Genomic DNA, 22,569 nt, shown 5'->3' on the forward strand with positions numbered 1-22,569 from the left:
AGAAAAATGCTACATGAAATTGGAACTAAGCCCCAGTGGGTCTCCCTATCCTTATTTCATTCTTTATAATAATGAAAACTGTTTCTCAATACCTCAATTTACTTTGTGCATGGAATTGTTTTTACTACAATTGTTTGCTGGAGAGGAAATTATCTTTATGCTACTGCAGTGTGGAATTTTGAATTAATTAAAAACTTATAAATTCCCAGAAATGCCCAAGTGGGATATAATTTAACTGTTACTAGAGACCAAGGGGATCCACTTTACTCTGGATTTTTAGAGTAAAATCTCAGCAAATATCTCATGTCATTTGTTTTTAGATGATCATAAAACAAAATTGACGTTAGTCTAGCTCACAGGCACTTAGACTGGTTTTATAGATTATGGGCTGACATACTCACTACAGCCATCCATTTTATAACAAAGGCTTCATTAGCACTTCAGGAGCACAGAGGACTGGGAAACAAAGGAATCCACAGTGTGCTACATGTTGCAGATCTCCCGGAGTCTTCCAACTGTTTTTATCCTTTTCCTTAAGTATGTCAAAATGAGCTACTTCATTCCCACGTTGAAGGGAGGAAAAGATTATACTTAGTTTTAAATGGAGAACTGCTAGGAAATTTTACTTAAATTATGAGTGAAACACAGAAACGTGGGCAAAGTACAGAATGACAGACACCAAATGCACAAAAAGAAATTTAACTGCATGGCAAAGACAAGTTTTCACAGAGGGGTACCATGTACTACAGAGAGCATTTCAATTACTATCTTTGGTACAAAATTACACAGTGTATATACACAGTATCTACTATATACATGACATACACACACCATATGTACATACACACATATATATACATATATATTTAGGATAGTCTTTTTTTTTTTTTTTTTTTTTTAAGATAGGGGTCTCCCTCTGTTACCCAGGCTGAAGTGCAATGCTGTGATCATAGCTCACTTCAGCTTCAGACTCCTGGGCTCAAGCAATCTTCCCATCTCAGCCTCCTGAGTAGCTGGGACTACAGACATACACCATGATGCCTGACTAGTTTTTTAAATAATTTTTTTGTAAAGATGGGATCTCTCTATGTTGCCCAGGCTGGTCTCAAACTCCTGAGCTCAAGTGATCCTCCTTCCTTGGCCTCCGGAAGTGTTGAGATTACAGGCGTGAGCCACCATGGCTGGCTAGAAGAGTCATTTTTTTTTTTTCTCCTAAATCTGCTTGAACATTCTTCTACAGGGGTGTGTTGCAGATAATTCTGAAAAAAATATATATAGAAGAGTAATTTTAGGGAAGTTCAGTGCTCTTTTCCTTTTTCTGGTAGGGAAGATGTTCACAAAAATGTATTTATTGACCATTAACTTTTTGCTGTAAGAATTCAGTCATACAGTCGTACAGCGTACAGAATAATTCTTCGTTGTGTGGCACTAACCCACATGCTGCAGGACATCATTCTCCCTGGCTGCATCCACTCATTGCCGGGAATAGTCCCCAATTATTATGAAATCACCAACAACCCACTGACCACAGTGAGAACCACTGATTTTTTCCACTGACCTAGTGACTATCTAGCATCCTTAGATCGGCTCAACTGTTACTTCCCCAAGGAGACCTTCTATAGAGTAGGTCAGATCCTTGCCTCCCAAACCCCTTATTTTTAAAATACTTTGTGCCTTGCTTTGATAATTTGTATTATGTATCCAAACTGAAATTTTCTGCTTTCTGCATTAGAATGTAAGCCCCCTGGGGGTTGAGTCAGTCTGTCTTGTTCGCTGTGCCACGGCTGATGCCCAGCCCAGCAGGATGCTTTGTACACTGATATACTGGGTACATTTTGTTGAATAAATTAAGCTCAACTTTATATTTCAATAGTTGAGTTGTATTGCTTCTTGTTCTTCAAGCTTAATTTGAACTGTCTAATAAAAAGAAGTAATTAAAAAAAAGAATTCAGTCATAAAAAAAGTTCCTTTGTTTTTTTTTTTTTTTTTTAGACAGAGTCTCGCTCTGTCACCAGGCTGGAGTGCAGTGGTGCGATCTCGGCTCACTGCAACCTCCACCTCCTGAATTCAAGCAATTCTCCTGCCTCAGCCTCCCAAGTAGCTGGGACTACAAGCATGCACCACCACACCCAGCTAATTTTTGTATTTTTAGTAGAGACCGGGTTTCACCATGTTGACCAGGATGGTCTCGATCTCTTGACCTCGTGATCTGCCCGCCTTGGCCTCCAAAAGTGCTGGGATTACAGGCGTGAGCCACTGCGCCCAGCCCATAAAAAATTCTAACCCTGGGGAGGATGGTATCTCTACACAACTTATCTTTTGGCCTATATACTCATTTTGAGGCACAATTAGTTGCCCCAATGCACAATGCTTTCTGGAATACATAAAAGAATGTTCATAGAAAATACAAATATAGGAGACTGTATTTACAAGGGCAGGGAAGTAGTGAAGTTATCTGTCCCTCAAATTCAGGTTTTTGGACCACCTGCATCAGGGTCACCAGCAAGCATGTTAAAATGCAGACTCAGGCCCAGCGTGATGGCTCACACCTGTAATCCCAGGACTTTGGGAGGCTGAGGTGGGGGGATCACTTGAGGTCAGGAGTTCAAGACCAGTCTGGCCAACATGGTGAAACCTGGACTCTACTAAAAATACAAAAATTAGCCGGGCACGCTGGCATGCACCTTTAGTCCCAGCTACTTGGGAGGCTGAGGCAGGAGAATCGCTTGAACCTGGGAGGCAGAGGTTGCAGTGAGCTGAGATTGTGCCACTGCACTCTAGCCTGGGTGACAAAGCAGGACTCTGTCTCAACAACAACAAAAACTGCAGATTCACAGGCCCAATCCAATAATTAATGAGAATCTTTGGGGATTCAGGAATCTGCACTTTTAATACACCCCATGTGATTCTGCCATGCACTAAAATGTGAATCACCGCTACATTTCTGCAACCTTTAAAAACTAAGGTGTGTGTCTCATTTTACTTCAGGACGGAGCCCTGACAGCAATGTTTGCTACGGCCTCCCTCTGCAGTCAGCCTAAAGCAAGGAGCTGGAGGTAGATGAGGCAAAGGTAAAGGAGACCAAAACAGTATTTTAAAGAAAAAATCATTTATCTTCAAATAGGCTCCAAACCTAAGGTAAGAATGTATTGATTTCATTGTACTAAAGGGAATACACAAACCTACTAAAAAGAATGCTGGCCAGGCACGGTGGCTCATGCCTGTAATCCCAGCACTGTGGGAGGCCGAGGTGGGGAGATCATCTGAGTTCAGGAGTTCGAGACCAGCCTGACCAACATGGTGAAACCCAATCTCTACTAAAAATACAAAAATTAGCTGAGTGTGGTGGCATGTGTCTGTAGTCCCAGTTACTCAGGAGGCTGAGGCGGGAAGATCACTTGAACCTGGGAGGTGGAGGTTGCAGTGAGCTGAGATTTAAAAAAAAAAAAAAAGCCGGCCAGGTGCGGTGGCTCATGCCTGTAATCCCAGCACTTTGGGAGGCCAAGGCAGGCCGATCACGAGGTCAGGAGATCAAGACCATCCTGGCTAACACGGTGAAACCCGTCTCTACTAAAAATACAAAAAAATTAGCCGGGCGTGGTGGCAGGCGCCTGTAGCCCCAGGCTGAGGCAGGAGAATGGCATGAACCCAGGAGGCAGAGCTTGCAGTGAGCCAAGATCCTGGGCGACAGAGCGAGAATCCGTCTCCAAAAAAAAAAAAAGAATGCTAAGGATGCTAAGACACAGAAGTACTAGAAATACTATAATAGTAATGCATAGTAATGCTTTTAAATGGGCATATGTGTTTATAATCATTTTGACATCTTAGATTTCAATTTAAGGTAAAATGGGCAAGAAACAAAAAACAAAAATTCTTATGTCCAAGTGCTCTGCATCTCTGGAAAAGAAGTTCTTTTTTATTTTCCCAGGGTTATTATTATAATGCTAATTTACTTTTTTAGTTTTTTGTTTCTCCCTGCATCCGATAGTGCTATAATTTTTTTTTTTTTTTGAGATGGAATCTTGCTCTGTCACTCAAGCTGGAATGTAGTAGCACAATTTTGGCTCACTTCAACCTCCACCTCCCAGGTTCAAGTGATTCTCCTGCTTCAGCCTCCCTAGTAGCTGGGATTACATGCGTGCACCACCATGCCTGGCTAATTTTTGCATTTTTAGTAAAGACAGGGTTTCACCATGTTGACCAGGTTGGTCTCGAGCACCTGACCTCAAGTGATCCCCCCGCCTCAGCGTCCCAAGGTGCTGGGAGTACAGGCATGAGCCACCACACTCGGCATATAATTTACCTTTTTAATAAAAAGGTAAGAGAATATATTTTCCCATAACATGCCACCAAATTCCTTTTTCTCCTCTTGCAATTTCCAAACACTGAGAAATCACCCATATATACACAGTTCAATGGGGAGAGATAGCATGCTGACCTCTATGTAGCATTAGAAATATAAGCAATAGGCCGGGCGTGGTCCCTCACGCCTGTAATCCCAGCCCTTTGGGAGGCTGAGGCAGGCGGATTACCTGAGGTCAGGAGTTCGAGACCAGCCTGACCAACATGGAGAAACCCTGTCTCTACTAAAAAAAAAAAAAAAAAAAAAATTAGCTGGGCGTGGTGGCGCATGCCTGTAATCCCAGCTACTGGGGAGGCTGAAGCAGGAGAATCGCTTGAACCTGGGAGGCGGAGGTTGTGGTCAACCAAGATCGCGCCACTGGACTCCAGCCTGGCAACAAGAGCGAAACTGTGTCTCAACAACAACAAAAGAAAAAAAATAGAAAAGAAATATAAGCAATATCCCACACATCATTAATAAAATAAAAACTACAAATTCATTTCCATAAGGAAAGATCCAAATGGCTAGATTCTTCATCTGAATCAGAAATCATTGTTTCTCGTTATTTTCATGGCAACCCCGCATTTCGTTTAATCAGAGGGTATTTTATAGCACTGATTTACGCAGTAGGCATAAATCAGTGTGTCCACCTGCTACACACGATAAAACCCTAAACCAAAACAACAGTGATAATAACCATCACCCTCCCTCCTCCCCCTCGAAAAACCAAAAACACTTTCTTCAGTGCTAAGAATTAACTATTAACTATCATGCTAAAGGTCAAGACTTAATGCATATTTCAAAAGAATTTAAATCAAACCACAGCTTTTCTTACAAATATACCTATACAGAGCAGATAATCAGAGGCACAAAGTGTCACTGTACCCCTCTCCTTCCACTACCTGTCCATCTTCCTCACTTTTGGTATAAAATTTAGAATAACAGGTAAGAAAATCAGTACAACTGCTGAGGAAATTGGTGTTGAAGAATTTTTCACAAAATCAGTTATCTCCCAAATAAACTTTATTTTGAAAAGAATATCACAATATAGTCATGTAAATTTAAATATGGCACACTGAGCAGTATTGACGCAAATTATATAGTCATGTAACCATGTTTCGGTCAATGTACAATATATATATGATGGTGGCCCCACAGATTATAATGGAGTTGAAAAATTCCTGTCACCTGCTAGGGATGTCTTGATCCTGACCCTGCATAGGCCTAGGCTAGTGTGTTTGTCTTGGTTTTTGACCAAAAAGTTTAAAAATTCAAAATTTAAATAGATAAAAGCTTATATAATAAGGATATAAGGAAAATATTTTTGTACAGCTATGCAATGTGTGTTTTAAGCTACGTTATTACTAGAAGAGTCCAAAAATTGTTTTTAAATAAGTTTCTAAACTAGAAAATTTACAGTAAGCTAAGGTTAGTTTTTTATTATTTCTATAAAAATTATAGAATTTTTTTTTTTGAGACAGAGTCTTGCTCCTCTGTCACCCAGACTAGAGTGCAGTGGTTCGATCTTGGCTCACTGCAACCTCCACCTCCTGGATTCAAGCAATTCTCCTGCCTCAGCCTCTCAATTAGCTGGGACTACACGCATGTGCCACCACACCTGGCTAATTATCGTATTTTTAGTAGAGATGGGGTTTAGCCATGTTGGCCCGGCTGGTCCCAAACTCATGACCTCGAGTGATCCACCCACCTTGGCCTCCCATAATGCTGGGATTATAGGCATAAGGCACCATGCCCAACCAGAAGAAAAACATTTTTTATAAATTTTAGTGTCACCTAAGTGTACGGTGTTTATAAAGTCTACAGTAGTGTACAGTAATGTCCTAGGCCTTTACATTCACTCACCACTGACTCATCCAGAGCAACTTCCAGTTCTGTAAGCTCCGTTAGTAAGTGCCCTATACAGGTATACCATATATATATATATACACACACCATATATATATATACTATATATATATATACCATATATATGGTATATATATATATATAGTATATATATATATATATATTTTTTTTTTTAGATGGGGAGTCACTCTGTCACCCAGGCTGGAGTGCAGTGGTATGATCATGGCTCACTGCAGCCTTGACCTTGCCAGGCTCAGGTGATCCTCCAACCTCAGCTTTTGTACTTTTAGCAGAGACGGGGTTTCGCCATGTTGCCCAGGCTGGTCTTGAGCTTCTGGGCTCAAGCAATCCACCTGCTGAGGCAGCCTCCCAAAGTGCTAGGATTACAGGCGTGAACCACTGCACCTGACCAGATTTTTTACAAAATCTTTTATACCATATTGTTATTGTTGTAGTATCTTTTCTGTGTTTAGATGTTTGAATAAACAGACACTTGCCATTGTGTTACAATTGCCTACATGATTCAGAACAGCAACATGCTGTAGCCTAGGAGCAATAGGCTATATACATGTCCTACATGTGTAGCAGGCTACACTATCTAGGTTTGTGTAAGTACACTCTATGATGTTCCCACAACGATGAAATAACCTAATTAGACATTTCTCAGAGTGCATCTCCATCATTAAGTGAGGTATGACTGTACATGTGAAGTCACAGTTCATGTCTGATTATTCCCACTAATAGAAGAGTACAAAGGTACAGTGAAACCAAAAAAAAGAGCAGATAACTTAAAAACCATAACTTGTGCATATGTTTTCATTTTATACTTGTGTCCAAATGTTTAGATGAGAACTGATACAAATTCACAGGTTTTTAAAAATGCTGCCTGAATAATCAAAACTCTTTTTACTTTTCTTGCCCTACTATAGATAGCATCAGTAATGTTTATACAGAGTAGCACCATCGGACAAACTACTTTCCCTTCTCCCATCATAGAGTATAAGGCTGTCTGTATTATGGCTTAAAACATTAGCAATGACTTAATAGTTTTCAACATACAGCTGATTTTGTTGGAGAAAGGTGTTACAGTATAGTCTTGTTAAGAACTTTATGTTTTACTGAGGAAAATGTCAACATATAATCAGTGAAAGTGGTCTACATATGATGTAATAATTGTTCATAATTCTTTTTAAACAACAAATGGGGGTAAATATGAATGAAAGAAGTAAAACACATCTGGAACCTCGCGTTGTTCAGGGTTTTTGAGGCAATTCAGAGCTAACTGCAAGATTATGCTATGAAACTGAAGCCATTTCTATATCATAGTGAGAATTCTAATGTACCAGAAACAGGCAGAAAGCCATCTTCAGAGAATGAAGACTCAAAGATAAACAACGGCACAGCAAACTGAAGAGAGAATTAGACCCCAGGGAAATTTTCACTTTTCATTAGTAGAGGGCAGTAGAAGACACTGAACTTGGGGACTGAATACTGGTTCTGCAGGTTAGTGCTGACCCTGGGCATAACAGTCAATCTTTTTGAATGACAATTTCCTCGTCTATAAATTAGGTACAGTGAGATCCACCAGCTTGTTTTATGACTCAGAGCCATGAAAAGCGAAGATAATAATGCACTTAATATCATTTTGTACACTATAAAGGGCTACTCTTAGAAAATGAAGATTTGATAACTTTAAAAAAAAGAATTAAAGATAAAAGCCAATTTAAAATAAAATTATATATATTTTTTTCTTTTTTAAAATCCAGGATAGGTATTTATTCAATAGTAGCTGCTGTAGGTCTGCTTCTTTTTTTTTTTTTGAGATGGAGTCTTGCTCTGTCACCCAGGCTGGAGTGCAGTGGCACAATCTTGGCTCACTGCAACCTCCGCCTCCCGGGTTCAAGCAAATCTCCTGTCTCAGCCTCCCGAGTAGCTGGGACTACAGGTGTGCACCACCACGCCTGGCTAATTTTTGTATTTTTAGTAGAGACAAGGTTTCACCATGTTGGCCAGGCTGGTCTTGAACTCCTGATCTCAAGTGATCCACCCTCCTTGGCCCCCAAAGTGCTGGGATTACAGGCATGAGCCACCACACCCAGCTAACTTCAGTTTTTGATGAGACAGAAATGGGAAAATGTAGACTGGTTTACTACTTTATCTTATGATACAATGTTATTGTAGTATAATATACTATAGACTACCCATTAAAGAACCAGGAAGGATATTCCGCTAGCCTTAAGAAGTAAATATTGAATATAAATATAACTTTCTACCTCATCTATAACATATTGATACATTTTATTACAAAGAAACTCACACATAAATGATTTGTCCTATTTATCATAATAGGCCACCAATCACTAGGAGCCAAGCTTCATCAGCTTAAGTCCTAGGTAGCATGTCTCAATGCATACATATTTATATGTTATTAACCGTGTTTCTTTTCTTTTTTTCGAGACAGAGTGTCCAGGCTGGAGGTGATCTCGGCTTACCGCAACCTCCGCCTCCGGGTTCAAGTGATTCTGCCGCCTCAGCCTTCCTGGGTAGCTGGGATTACAGGCACGCATCACCACGCCCGGCTACTTTTGTATTTTTAGTAGAGATAGGGTTTCTCCGTGTTGGTCAGGCTGGTCTCGAACTCCCAACCTCAGGTGATCCGCCCGCCTCAGCCTCCCAAAGTGCTGGGATTACAGGCATGAGCCACCATGCCTGGCTATTAACCTTGTTTCTAACTTCAGCATTGCACATCTCCTTAGTAAAGCAGTAGCCATTAACAAGTCAGGTCCAACAACCATTTTCCTCTGGTCCTCAAGCAGAGACTCAGAGCCAGTTACACATAAACTATTTCATTATAACATGAAAATAGCAAGCCTTGGGCTATTGCAAAAGGCTTTTCAAATGTTGACCTCTAACTTGGAGAAAATAGAGGGAAGCAGAAATATAGGGTGCTAATTTGTGCTATAACCTGGTCTCATGTCGTGGTATATTCCCAGTTGCAACATTTTAAATTTATAAGTGAGAAAGTAAAACAAAGCTTCATATCTGTGAAAGTGAAAAATTGTCCAGAAGTCTTCTATTCAAAGACCAATTAGCTTTTTCTTCCCAATAACTTATCAGAAAGAAATGGGTACTTAGAAACCTAAGGGGTTCTTTAAATAGGAGTCAGAAAAAATATATAAAAATAAAAAACAAAGCAAGAAAGAACATTGTATAAAAATAAAATGTTCTTTAAAGATGACTGCCCTCTCTTGAAAGATGAGTGCTATATTAAAAGGGTAGATGTATCTCTATAACTCATCGTGTTTATATGTAAATTCTCTGGCAGATATAAACCCATCTTTGTCTTCATCTTCTTTATCAAAAATATCCTCCACCAAAGCATCATGATGACTTTCATTCACCACCGCACCATGTTTTTCAAACTCCTTCTTTAAATATGCTTTAACCTACAAAATAACAGATCCCATTAATAACTTGGATTCATAAGATACCCACATTGAGCCAATCAATATCACAGACATGGACTGTTATTATATTTAGTTCATTAACTAAATATAATACCTTCTAAACAGCCATTTTATGACATAGTTTTAATGATAATTAAAAAATAATAGAAACTTTTTCCCTTAAAAAAACTGTTGCTAAACTGCTAAAGTGGAGACACAAAATATTGCTCAAAGGCAGGGCCAGGTGTGGTGGCTCATGCCTGTTATCCCAGCACTTTGGGAGGCCCAAGTGGGAAGATTGCTTGAGGTCAGGAGTTGGAGATCAGCCTGGCCGACATAATGAAAGCCCATCTCCACTAAAAATACAAAAAAAAGTTAGCCAGGCATGATGGCATGCGTCTGTAATCCCAGCTATTCAGGAGGCTGAGGCAGTTGAATCGCTTGAACCTGGAAGGCAGAGGTTGCAGTGAATCGAGATTGCGCTGCTGCCCTCCAGCCTGGGCAACAGAGTGAGACTCTGTCAAAAAAATAAAAAATTAAAAAATTAAAAATATATATATATATATAGCTCTCTCTATATATATATTGCTCAAAGGCAGAGATAAAGCTTATGTCATGTATACAATCCTCATATAGGGCTTATATTATTGGAGAATACCCAATGAGAGCATACTACTTGTTCTTAATCTGAATCTAAATACTAGGCATTTCTTTTCTTTTTTTAGACAGAATCTTTTTTTTTTTTTTTTTGAGACGGAGTCTCACTCTGTTGCCCAGGCTGGAGTGCAGTGGCGCAATCTCGGCTCACTGCAAGCTCCGCCTCCCGGGTTCACGCCATTCTCCTGCCTCAGCCTCCCGAGTAGCTGGGACTACAGGCGCCCGCCACCACGCCCAGCTAATTTTTTGTATTTTTAGTAGAGACGGCGTTTCACCGTGTTAGCCAGGATGGTCTCGATCTCCTGACCTCGTGATCTGCCCGCCTCGGCCTCCCAAAGTGCTGGGATTACAGGCGTGAGCCACCGCGCCCGGCCTTTTAGACAGAATCTTGCTCTGTCACCCAGGCTGGAGTGCAGTGGCACCATCTCAGCTCACTGCAACCTCTGCCTCCCAGGCTCAAGCAATCCTCCTACCTCAGCCTCACACGTACCTGGGACTTACAGGCATGTGCTACCACATCTGGCTTTTATATTTTTTGTAGAGATGGGGTTTCACCATGTTGCCCAGGCTGGTCTTGAACTCCTGGGCTCAAGCAATCTAAACCCCTCAGCCTCCCAAAGTGCTGGGATTAGAAGCATGAGCCACTGCACCCCATGGACACTTCTCTTAAAACTAGATTAAATAGTGGCATCTTTGACTTGAATAAATGTCTGCAAGTAGTGGGTCTTTTGGGTTTTGGTTATGATCATGTGATTAGATTGAGTCTAATCACAACCTTTCAATCTCAGAAAGTCAGGTCTGATAAGTGCCTAGACTACAATTTTCCATTTTCATTTGTTTTTTTGTTTTTCTTTTTTTTTTGAAATAGAGTCTTGCTCTGTCACGCAGGCTGGAGTATAGTGGCACGATCTCGGCCCACTACAACTTCCAACTCCCAGGTTCAAGCGATTCACCTGCCTCAGACTCCCTAGTAGCTGGGATTACAGGCACCTGCCACCATGCCTGGCTAATTTTTGTATTTTTAGTAGAGACAGGGTTTCACCAAGTTGGCCAGGCTGGCCTCGAACTCCTGACCTCAGAAGATTTGCCTGCCTTGGCCTCCCAAAGTGCTGGGATTACAGGTGTGAGCCACCATGCCCGGACTCCATTTTCATTTCATTCAGATATTTAAAAATATAAATATTGTTTTCAATTTCCCACAAGATTCACCACAATGAAAATCAGCCTATATTTTCAGTTTTAATTATATCACCTCTCTTCCTTCTGTTTAGACCAGCAATTTCAAATCCTCTCTCCCCCAGCTTTCAAGAAGTACACATATAGTATATATTTATTTTTAAGTTAAAGTGATTTAATGCAGTTGTTAAAAAAAGGGGTGGGGGAGAGATCCATTAATCCATTAAACTCTATGGATTAATGTAGAATGTATTTCTAGGATATATTGTGTGAATAAAGCAAAACGACAAAACAGCATGTATAGTTTGCTTCTTTTTGTGTAAGAAAGGGGGAAATAAGACTATGTATTTGGATTTGCAGAAAGAAACACTGAAAGGATATATTAGAAACTAATAAAACTAAGCCGGGTGCAATGGTGCATGCTTGTACATAGCGAGACCTCATCTCTACAAAAAAAAAAACAGAAAGAAAGAAAAAAGTAATTAATAAAACTGGATGTGGGGATAATAGAATAGAAGAGGATGTAGGTAGGAGAAAGACTTTTAAAAATATGTAAATAATAGGCCGGATGCGGTAGCTCACACCTGTAATCCCAGCACTTTGGGAGGCCAAGGCAGGCGGATCACAAAGTCAGGAGCTTGAAACCATCCTGGCCAACATGGTGAAACCCTGTCTCTATTAAAAATACGACAATTAGCTGGGTATGGTGGCGTGCACCTGTAGTCCCAGCTACCTGGCAGGCCGAGGCAGGAGAATCGCTTGAACCCGGGACACAGAGGCTGCAGTGAGCTGAGATCGCACCACTGCAATCCAGCCTGGCAACAGAGTGAGATTCCGTCTAAAAAAAAAAAAAACAGTAAATAATAGAGATAAAGTCTTCCTATGTTGGCCAGGTTGGTCTTGAAGTCTCAGCCTCAAGCAATCTTCCTGCCTCAGCCTTCCAAAGTGGTAGGATTACAAGTGTGAGCCACCTCACCCAGCTAAGACTTTTAAATAAATATCTTTCTGCTGGGCACAGTGGTTCACGTCTGTAATCCCAGCACTTTGGAAGGCCGAGGTGGGCAGATCACGAGGTCAGGAGTTTGAGACCAGCCTGGCCAATATGGTGAAACCCCATCTCTACTAAAAATACAAAAATCAGCCAGGCATGATGGTGCAGCTACTTGGGAGGCTGAGGCAGAATTGCTTGAACCCAGGAGGCAGAGGTTGCAGTGAGCCGAGATTTTGCCACTGCACTCCAGGCTGGGCAACAGAGCAAGACTCCCTCTCAGGAAATAAATAAATAAATAAATAAATAAATAAATAAATAAATAAATAAATAGATTTTTGTTTTGAACCATGTGACTGTGTTATATATTCAAAATTATTTAATGAAAGGGAATTAAAATTTATCTTGGATGGAAGAAAAAGGCATGTGACTGGTAATACTATGAGGTGTTATAAATTTAGTGGCTGTGGATCATGAACCCCTGGTTCGTAACAATTTGGCTTATTCAAGACTTAATCATTTCCTGGCCATTAGAATGAATTTGATCAAAGCATAGAAAGGGACTTGATATCTGACCAGTCAGGACAGAATGGAGTGTGAGTAGATAAAAAACAGGAATAAATATCTCCCTCCACTTCTTTCCCCGCAGCAGCCAGACTAAGACAGGTATGTGTAGCAATGGCCGAATTATAAGGAGAAGCCTCTTCTTCCTTTCTCTTTACCCAAAGGCTCAGATTTTGATGGGGCTGGAGCCCTGCTGTGTAAAACCCAGGCTGGGGTCTCTTTTCTCTGGGGCAACCTGAACAAAACAGAGCATGTAAGTTGCTTGCTGTTAATTGCCAGGAAAACACTACAAGATGTATTTAACAGCCAGTCTACAGTTTTAACAGAAACTGTCCACATGAGATATTTCTCAGGACAGCTAGCTTCTTATACAGTAACTCCAGATGGAAACTGTCTTGGCAAAATTGTTCTTTCAAAGACCCAAGGGTAAGCATAAGATACAGTGAACCCTAAGCATTGGGAAGAAAAAAGCAAAAGATTGAATGGTGCTTTTTAAGTCTTAATATATTTCTCTCCAAAACAGTGATTCACTATGAAAAAGTCCACTTTCAAAGCATCAGTATTTTAAGAAAACTTATAAATAAATGTTACCTAAATAAAAGTAGATTTGAAATATACACATATTCATTTAAAAAGTGAGTTACAAAAACAAAACAAAACAAAACCCCAAACAACCAAAGAAAAGTAGAAAGAGGAGTAGGAAGAAGGAAAGGTCACCTCATCTTTAGAGAGTTTCCAGTCATCATTAAGATCCATTTCTTGGAATGATTCATGGGATCTTGGTCCATTTCGAATCTCCAGGAGATCAATATTAAATATCAGTGTACTTTCTGGGGGAATTTTACCTGACGTGAGGAAAGAAGGCAGAAAGTTTTAAAAGAGCCAAAAGTTTTAATAATAGAAAATTTATGGTAATGGACAAAGTATTTTTTTTAACTGAATTAAAGAGCCTTCCTAAGATTGTCATATATGATGAAAATTATGTATATTATATTTTACTCGAATAGAATAGAGTAAAAGAAGAAATAATATACACTAGCAGAGCAAAAGCATTCTATCTTTGGCTTAGCAATTAAAATGTAAATACACATACACACAATGCATATACATACATAGAGATGTACCTAATGGCTTAGGTATTACATTTCTAATATAATTAATATATTACATATTATATGTCAAGAAGGACTTGAAGGGTTTTAGATAATTCGGAGTTAAGTATATTAAAAGTAATAAACTAACTTTTTGGTCAGAAAGTCCTGACCTAGAAATACATACAGTATTGCCATTTCTACCACTAGAAGGCATTTCTACCCATATAATTGAGTAAGCTCTGGTGTCACACTGTCTGAGGCTGAAGTTTACATTTGCCCATCTCTAAGCCTCAATTTCCTCATCTATAAAATGCAGATAATAAATTTCCTCCTCAGGAGTCTGTTGGGAGGATAAAGGGAGAAAAATCCATGCAAAATACTTAGCATTAAACTTGACAAATAGTAAACTCTCAATACATGTTATTGAGGTATAATTTTCTCACAGGCTTTAAAAATAATGCAGGAAGGTTTAACAATTTCAGAAAGTTAGGAAACACTACCTCTGATATAGAACATTATATATATGTTGAAGACATTTCATGGGAGGGGAGAAATTAAAATGAATTTCTGAGAAGGGAAATTAAAAATCTTTAAAAGTGAAAAGAGCTTTGTTAAAATCCCAGGAACCTGAAACAAACAAACAAACAAACAAACACACCCATCTGTGGAGTATGGACAATTGTTTTTCTCAAACTTGTTTCCTTATAACTATATTTAACATACAGGTCTGTGTAAACATGTTAAATATTTCTTAGTCATCCTCCCCCCATCCCACATATTTCCATGAAAGAACATTCATAAATTCCAAAGAGAAGACTTATAAAGTGTGCTGAAGCTTACCATTTCAGATCTAGACAGAGATGTGACATGCGCTAGGTTGTTGATAAAACTGGTATCTTTCCAAAAGAGGCATGCAAGCATGTACTAAAAGACTACAAAATTAGTGTTAAATACAGATTAGAAAAATTAGTTTCATGGCATTCAGTTTGAAGGAAATGACTCAAATTTAGATCTCTACTTATTGTGAAGTAAACTTGAGTTAAATATAGTATGAGAAAGAGTAATGGACTAATACAACGTACAGTAGTCCCCACTGGGATATGTCCCAAGAATCCCATTAGATGCCTGAAACCATGGATAGTACCAAACCCCATACATACAATGCTTTTTCCTATACATGCATATCTGTGATAAAGTTTAATTTATAAAATAGTCATAGTAACAGATTAAAAATAATAAAATAGAACAATTACAACAACATATCATAATAAAAGTTATATGAATGCAATCTGTCTCTCATTCTCAAAATACCTTAATATTTTCAGACTGCAGTTGACCACAGGTAACTAAAACGGTAGAAAGTGAAACCACAGGTAAAGGGGAACTACTGTATGTAAATATTAAAGGTGAGACAATAAAGATAAAATGAAAACATTCTCAGCATCAGAAAAAATTTTCTAGATACTTGGTTTTCTTCTCTAAAGAGGATTATGACTAAAAGAAGAATTGAATTTGGTTAGTTAATCTTATCCTATGAACAAGATTTGTATAGATTTGTATATTTTGGAATATATAATGCTTGCCATATGGCATCTATTTTCCTTCTCAGGAAATGGGCTGTGAATCCTGACTCCTCACTTTTGTCAGTGGTTAACCTTAGACTTCAGGATGCTATGAAGTCTATATTTATACTATATCAGAGTAGTTGTCTGTCTGGTTCTGATGACTACTTAAACTTTTTTTTCTTCATTATGTAAGTAATACATGCTCATTGTAGAGCACATACTTGGATGATAAAACCAGAAATAAATATGATTCCCAGTATCACAGTCCATTTTTAACATTCTTATTTATTTCCTTATGATTAACTTTCTATGTATATGTACCTTTTCCTATATTTACTATCATATATACTATAGGTTTATTTTCTACTTTTATATATAATACTGTATCTCATGCATTTCAGATATAATTTTTAAACTCTTTGGAAATGCCATTTTAAATAACTGGGCCATATTTTATTTAGCTAAATTCTTACCAGTATACCACTTACGACAGTTCCAATTTTTTGCTTAGAAACAATGCAATTATGGACATCCCTGTTCACAAATTTTTTTCCTGATATCTAATTATTCCCTTAGGTTTGAAGGAATTATAGAATAAATGCATATAGACATCTTCAGACCTCTTTTTTTTTTTTTGAGATGGAGTTTGGCTCTGTCCCCCAGGCTGGAGTATAGTGGCACGTTCTTGGCTCATTGCAACCTCTGCCTCACATGTTCAAGCAATTCTCCTGCCTCAGCCTCCTAAGTAACTGGGATTATAGGTGCACTCCACTACGTTCAGCTAATTTTGTATTTTTAGTAGAGACAGGGTTTCACCATGTTGGCCACGTCGGTCTCAAACTCCTGACCTCAAGTGATCCACCCTCCTTGGCCTCCCAAAGTGCTGGGATTACAGGTGTGAGCCACCATGCCTGGCCCAGACCTCTTGATATATATCACAAAGCAGCTCTTTGGAAAGTTGCAGGGGTTCTCACTTGAACAGCAGGATATGTGTCTGCCCTGAAAAACTAGTACAAAAGCTGTCCGGACCAGCTAGCCAGCTTGCTTCTGCTTTGTGACACAGGGAGAATTAAATTCATTTCATGTCACTCTATGATTTTTTTTAAATACATTGTTAAAAACTTTATAAATAAATTTAAAAACGGGAATGAAAAGAACTCCCAGTTTGCTGTGGGAGACTTAATATTCATGAAGTACAACCCATATATAACCCACATCTAAAATGCATTCAATACTTTAATAATCTATATTTCACATGTTCAACTCATCCAAACACTTACGTTAATGGATCTTTCTCTCTGCATTGTTAAAGTAAATTGGTGAGTTTCAGTTTGGGAAGATGAGAACATTCTGAAGATGGATAGTGGTGATGGTTCCACAATAACATGAATGTATTTAATGCCACTGAACTGTGTACTTAAAAATGGTTCAAATGAAAAATTTTATGTATATTTTATCACAATTAAAACAACCCACCATATTTGTGAACAGTATTAATAGACCTCAATGTTCTTTTTTTATTGTTAGCATAGTTGCCCATTTAGACATTACGGCCTTAAACTGGCCATTTCAATTGATACTCAAGACATAATACAGTTGCTAAAGGAATACATACCCCCTATTAACTTCCAGGGGAAAAAAAAAAGTTATAGTGACTCTAACTTCTGTCTCCTAATCCAGAGAACAACTCTAGTGCTATAGTAAGAAAAATACAGAAATACTATTACCTTTTCCTTCTTTTCCATAGCCCAGAGCAGGAGGAATGATGAGCTTTCTCTTCTCTCCTACACACATTCCTTTCAAGCCCTGGTCCCAACCTTTGAGAGCCTCCAGGATGCCCAGGGTAAACCAAATGGGCTGACCATTGTTATGTTTGTGACTATGATAGAAATAAAACACATTAGAACTCCTTATTAACTCTAAAAAATTTTCTTTAGTGCATTTTCCCACCAGTAAGTGGTTAAGTTTATTAGTTTAAAAATTTATAAATACAGCAATTCTGTATTTGCACACATACACACACACCTCCAAGTCAAGTTTATAGGAATTCAATTCACTGCCCATCTTTCTTGATGCAAATTTCACATACTTGACTGGGCTTAAGAAAGACAGAGGAAATAATAAAAACAACAACCATTTGAACATTTGTTGTATACCAGGAATTATTCTAAATTTTATTTTATTTTTTGCCTCTTAACCCTTACAATAAGTCTATAATATAAGTACCATTACTACCCCATTGCACAGATGAGGAAACACAGGTTAAGTTCCAGTCTTTAAACCTAACTCCAAAGTTCAAGGTCTTAATCACAAAGTTATGTTGTCCCAGGAAGGCCACTAGGTTGCAGAACAAGGAGAAAATAATGGAAAAATGGCTGAGTTTGGGAAGGAGATTGAAAGGCTAAGGAGAATTTACTGCCAACATATGTGGGTCCATATGCACACAGATATGAAGAGTGAGAAGCACAGTGTCTTATATCCTGCCTACAAACTTGCCTTAGCTATGGCCTGCTGATGGCTCTGACGGGTAGAAAAGGCTGCTTTTCATCCCTAAATCCCCACTCAGACCCTAGCCCAGTTTCCTCCTCAGGGGTCTACAGTGGGGCTATATAGGAAAGTCTGGAAGAGTAGCCCCTCAAGGACTGGTGTGTTAGTCCATTTTCATACTGCTATGAAGAAATATTCAAGACTGGGTAACTTATAAAGAAAAGGAGGTTTAATGGACTCGCGGTTCCACATGGCTGGGGAGGTCTCACAATCATGGCGGAAGGCAAAGGAGGAGCAAAGGCACGTCTTACATGGTAGCAGGCAAGAATGAGTGTGCAGAGGAGCTGCCTTTTATAAAACCATCAGATCTCGTGAGACTTATTTACTATCACAAGGAGAACAGCATGGGAAAAACCTGCCCTCATGATTCGATTACCTCCCACCAGGTCCCTTCCACAACATGTGGGGATTATGGTAGCTACAATTTAAGATGAGAATTGGGTGGGGCCATAGCGGAACCCTATCAACTGGGGACGAGGGAAATAGAATGTCCTGGCTCATGAGTTGAAGAGAGTCTAGCCTAGGAAAACCAACCTGCCGAACTACATACAGGGAGGCTTAAGGGCTGAGTAATGCCTGATCCCTACCTAGCTCCCTTTCAGTGCAATAAGGAAAATATTCTATTCAAGGATATCTTGTAGGTGAGAAAAAGAAGTCACTGTACTACGCTTCATGAGTACCATGGTTACTAAATCTGGGTAATGCCATTTTTTCCTGTAATTTTGCCCAATGATCAAAGTAACAAAATGCCAACTGTAGAAAATTTGGGAAGGCTAGAAATGAAAAAAGAAGCAGGAAACATTCTACTACTCATCACTGACTACAATTTTAGCACAGTTCTTCTTAGGGCTAAGCAATTTATCCCATAGGCTATGGTTCTAGAGATGGCAAACGTGCTTACAAACTGATCATTTGATGGTATTTCTTTTTCTTCAGAGCGGAGTCTCGCTCTGTTGCCCAGGCTGGAGTGCAGCGGCGCAATCTTGGCTCACTGCAGCCTCCGCCTCCTGGGTTCAAGCGATTCTCCTGCCTCAGCCTCCTGAGTAGCTGGGATTACAGGTGCCCACCACGCCCAGATAACTTTTGTATTTTTAGTAGAGACGGGGTTTCACCATGTTGGCCAGGATGGTCTCAAACTCCTGACCTCGCGATCTGCCTGCCTCGGCCTCCCAAAGTGCTGGGATTACAGGCGTGAGCCACCACGCCCAGCCAATTTGATGGTATTTCTTCATGAAGTTTACAGTTAGCAGCTTCTGACCATTTACATGGAGGCTGCATGATAACAGTCCCCTCATCAGGTATTAGAACTTAGTAGCAAACTGCTAAATAATATTCCATGGCTACCACCAAAGTCAGCACAGGTTTTTGGTTCAGAAATCTGAAAGAAGTCAGGCTGAGTCTAAAAGAGATCAGACTAAAAATAACAATATAACTGAATTTTCAAAATGCAAATCACATCATTTAATATCCACCGTGGCACTCACCTAGTTGACAAGAAGAAAGGGCTGTTGAGAATTCTAAGGCAAGCCATTTTTCTGGAACTTTTTCCCAGGGCTAACAGTTTAGAGAAGAGCCCCATTCATTTCCCCAACCCTCAAGACAGACCAGGTCTGAATGCCCAGTAAAGGCAGTTTATTAGAAAATCAGGTGGAGGATGGGCTATGAAGATTTACTGTTTTAATTCATGTTATTCCCTCTACCTACAACATCCTTCCCTACTTTCCCCCTGGAAACCTCCACCCATCTTCCAAGGTTCATTTCAATTATGGTCTCTGGGAAGTCTTTCCCTTTCCCCACCCCATGGAGCCTAACTACTTCAGGCCCAGTTACGCTTTGCTAGCACTTTGAATATTCTGTACCCTATATCATTGCATTATTTACTTGTCTTTCTCCCACCTGTAGATGGTGTATACTGTTAGAGGACAAGAACCTGCTTCTAGCCATCTTTGCGTCTCCAGGACCTGACTTGTGACCATTCAATAAGAGTTTGATAGATGGACAGACTAATGAATAGATGAAGATGATTAGAAGCCAAAATTTCTGAATCTTCCTAGCACCCAGAACATGGCTTAACATCAAGGAAATGCTCACTAAATACTGTCATAATGGAATGAATGGAACCGATGCCTAATTGAAAATCATTAGGCTGTAAACCATTTCCATGTTCCAATTTCTTCGTTTATAGAACAGAAATGATAGTGTAACCACCTGAAAATCCTTCACCTAGACTTCCAAAACCACACCCACCTCATCAATGAAGTCTGACTCTCTAGAAAGAAGCAAATGACTGAAATCATGGTCCTGTGCCTTGACCAAAATACCATTCGTCAGAACAAAAGAAGTAGGTCAGTGAAACGGCATTAGTATATCCTTCAACAGGCAAATAAGTGATAGTGTAGTTTGCTTTTGAAGTCGCTGTGAAAAGTTTTAGGTGAACATCACCTACACCACATTAAAAATGGAATCAAGTCATTTTCTTTAAGAAATGGAGTTTGAGATATGAGAATTCTTTTGGGCTTTTTCTACTTATTGGCCAATTATACACCCAGATATATTTCTGCAATATTTCAAAGATTCTAGTTCTAATTTGTATAATAAAAAAAATTAACAGCCTTTTCCAGACCACATGTTTCCAACAAGACCTTCAAAGGCCTCGCTCGCTATATAAAACTGGCTTTAAACAATTTCCTTTCCCAAAGAAGGAAATAAGATATTTCGGTTTTGTAAAAGAGGCAAAACCAGGTACAGGCCACCTTTCCTGCTGGAGAGCTGGCATAAGTGAGTGGATTCTTAATTACTATTTTACCTGCGGGGCATAATTACTTACGTGGAGTGAAATAAGGAGCCGTCCTTTTCTAAGTAGCCTTCATAGTGGACCAACATCAAATCCCCTCCTTTGGTCTTGCGATGGCAGATGAATGGCTTCTGGAGAACTTCAATTTTCACTTCTGGTTCAGGGATCAAAGCCCCAATCAAAGAAGTGACGAACAGAGTCAAGACCGCGTTCCACAAGAAAAGCCTCATGTTGCTGAAGCAAGGAAAGAAGTCCCTACAAAAGCAGCGAAAGGTCCCTCGACTTCATAGATTTAAGAACGTAGTTCAAGGCTTACGGACAAGGGCTTCAGACAAGTTCAGGACTCCCCCTTCTTAGAAGACGTGGCACATTTACCACCAACTCTTTTCTCAAGGGTCACGAACCTACCTTTAAAGAGTTAAGCCCAAATGCCGGCCTGACTGGCTCTTATAACGCGGCCGCCTGGGAATAGCAGCCTCCCATTGGCTATTGGTGCTGTCCTTCAGGCAGCTCTCAAGCCAATGACGCTGCAACGATGGAATTTACAGCCCGGTAGAGCCGGGCAGCTGCCAAGCGGCGGATCATCCCTTGTGGTCCTAGAGCCCGGTGGATTTCAGCATTCAACCAGCGTGGATTTTGGGAGAGGGGCGGGGCGCAGAGCCAACCGGAAACTCCTCCGGCTGATTTATCTCTGTGAAGAACCCTGCTGAGAGACGTAGGAAGAGTCCCGGGGCCCTATGAAATCTTCGGGGTTCCAGGAAAGACTCGTTTACTCTCGCCGTTGGAGAGCGGCCCCCCAAGATGCCACAATCCTAGGATTTTGCTATTGCTTATAAACTGTAAAGACTGACATACTGCTTGAGGGTTCACAAAGCGCGTTCCCGTTGCATGAACCTCACTACACCCAGTAAGGCAGGTTCTTTTTTCCCATTTAAAAGAGAAGTAAATTTACACCAGGAGATATTAACTGTCCTGCTTAAGGTTGTTTGGCCCCGAAGCAAATGAGCTCTGCCTTCAAACCAGGTCTGATTCATTCCACAGCACCACGTCATGTTATGGCTGCTAATAATTTATCCCTTAAGTTACCTTACAGGGTAAATAATGAGTTTCGACTTGCAGACTTCCGCTTTAAAGAAGAAATGGTAATCATGGTTACGAATTACACAGCCTCATCGTAGTTTACATTTTCTAGTTTTACATTTTTTGCCTAAGTTCAAAAGTAATGCATGTTCATTGAAGTCATTTTGGAAGAAATTGGAAAGCACTAAAGTAAGATTTCCAGATAATATTGGGGAGTCGAATCAAGTTGGAATTTCAGATACATAACGAATAATGGTTTTGCATTTTTATTTACTAAATCAGGCAACTTTAAAGAAAAAGAAAGCTCGCCGATACCACCACCAGCCGCAAACAATCCTCTTAATATTTTGGTGCATGCTTCTGTGACATATACTTAAAGCGATTTAAATCGTATTGTAGTCTTTTCTCACCTCCTCTTTCCACTTAATCTGTAGTTAACATTTTTTCTGG

The 22,569-nt window shown here is 39.7% G+C and overlaps 1 protein-coding gene and 1 long non-coding RNA gene across 5 annotated transcripts in view, besides 1 other annotated feature; one reads left to right on the forward strand and one right to left on the reverse strand.

Annotated features, from left to right (window-relative positions):
* Window positions 1-22,002, forward strand: part of FKBP14-AS1 (FKBP14 antisense RNA 1) — a 38,586-nt gene extending 16,584 nt beyond the window's left edge. The window contains exons 2-3 of the long non-coding RNA NR_187577.1: window positions 2,989-3,138; window positions 20,148-22,002. This is a non-coding gene — a long non-coding RNA (FKBP14 antisense RNA 1). The remainder of the gene's footprint in view (window positions 1-2,988; window positions 3,139-20,147) is intronic.
* Window positions 684-21,463, reverse strand: FKBP14 (FKBP prolyl isomerase 14). 4 transcript variants are annotated; one of them, NR_046478.2, is made up of 5 exons: window positions 21,073-21,463; window positions 17,426-17,577; window positions 14,974-15,065; window positions 13,757-13,884; window positions 5,348-9,654 (listed from the first exon to the last, which is right to left on the reverse strand). NR_046478.2 is itself a non-coding variant. In XM_047420550.1 (4 exons), exons 1-4 carry the CDS (start codon window positions 21,267-21,269, stop codon window positions 1,086-1,088), a joined length of 651 nt encoding a protein of 216 aa, XP_047276506.1. In that variant the 5' UTR covers window positions 21,270-21,463; the 3' UTR covers window positions 684-1,085. The 4 variants fall into 4 exon arrangements, 2 of the variants coding, with proteins under 2 accessions (XP_047276506.1, NP_060416.1); XM_047420550.1 differs by lacking the exons at window positions 5,348-9,654; window positions 14,974-15,065 and adding an exon at window positions 684-1,259; NM_017946.4 differs by lacking the exon at window positions 14,974-15,065.
* Window positions 21,719-21,868: an enhancer, noted in NCBI's record as "active region_25803". NCBI's record gives its function as "activates an Ori minimal core promoter by ATAC-STARR-seq in GM12878 lymphoblastoid cells {active_cell/tissue: GM12878}" and the evidence as "EXISTENCE:reporter gene assay evidence [ECO:0000049][PMID:35858748]".

This window comes from Homo sapiens, chromosome 7 (assembly GCF_000001405.40).
Source record: "Homo sapiens chromosome 7, GRCh38.p14 Primary Assembly".
In the NCBI taxonomy this organism is placed as follows: domain Eukaryota; kingdom Metazoa; phylum Chordata; class Mammalia; order Primates; family Hominidae; genus Homo; species Homo sapiens.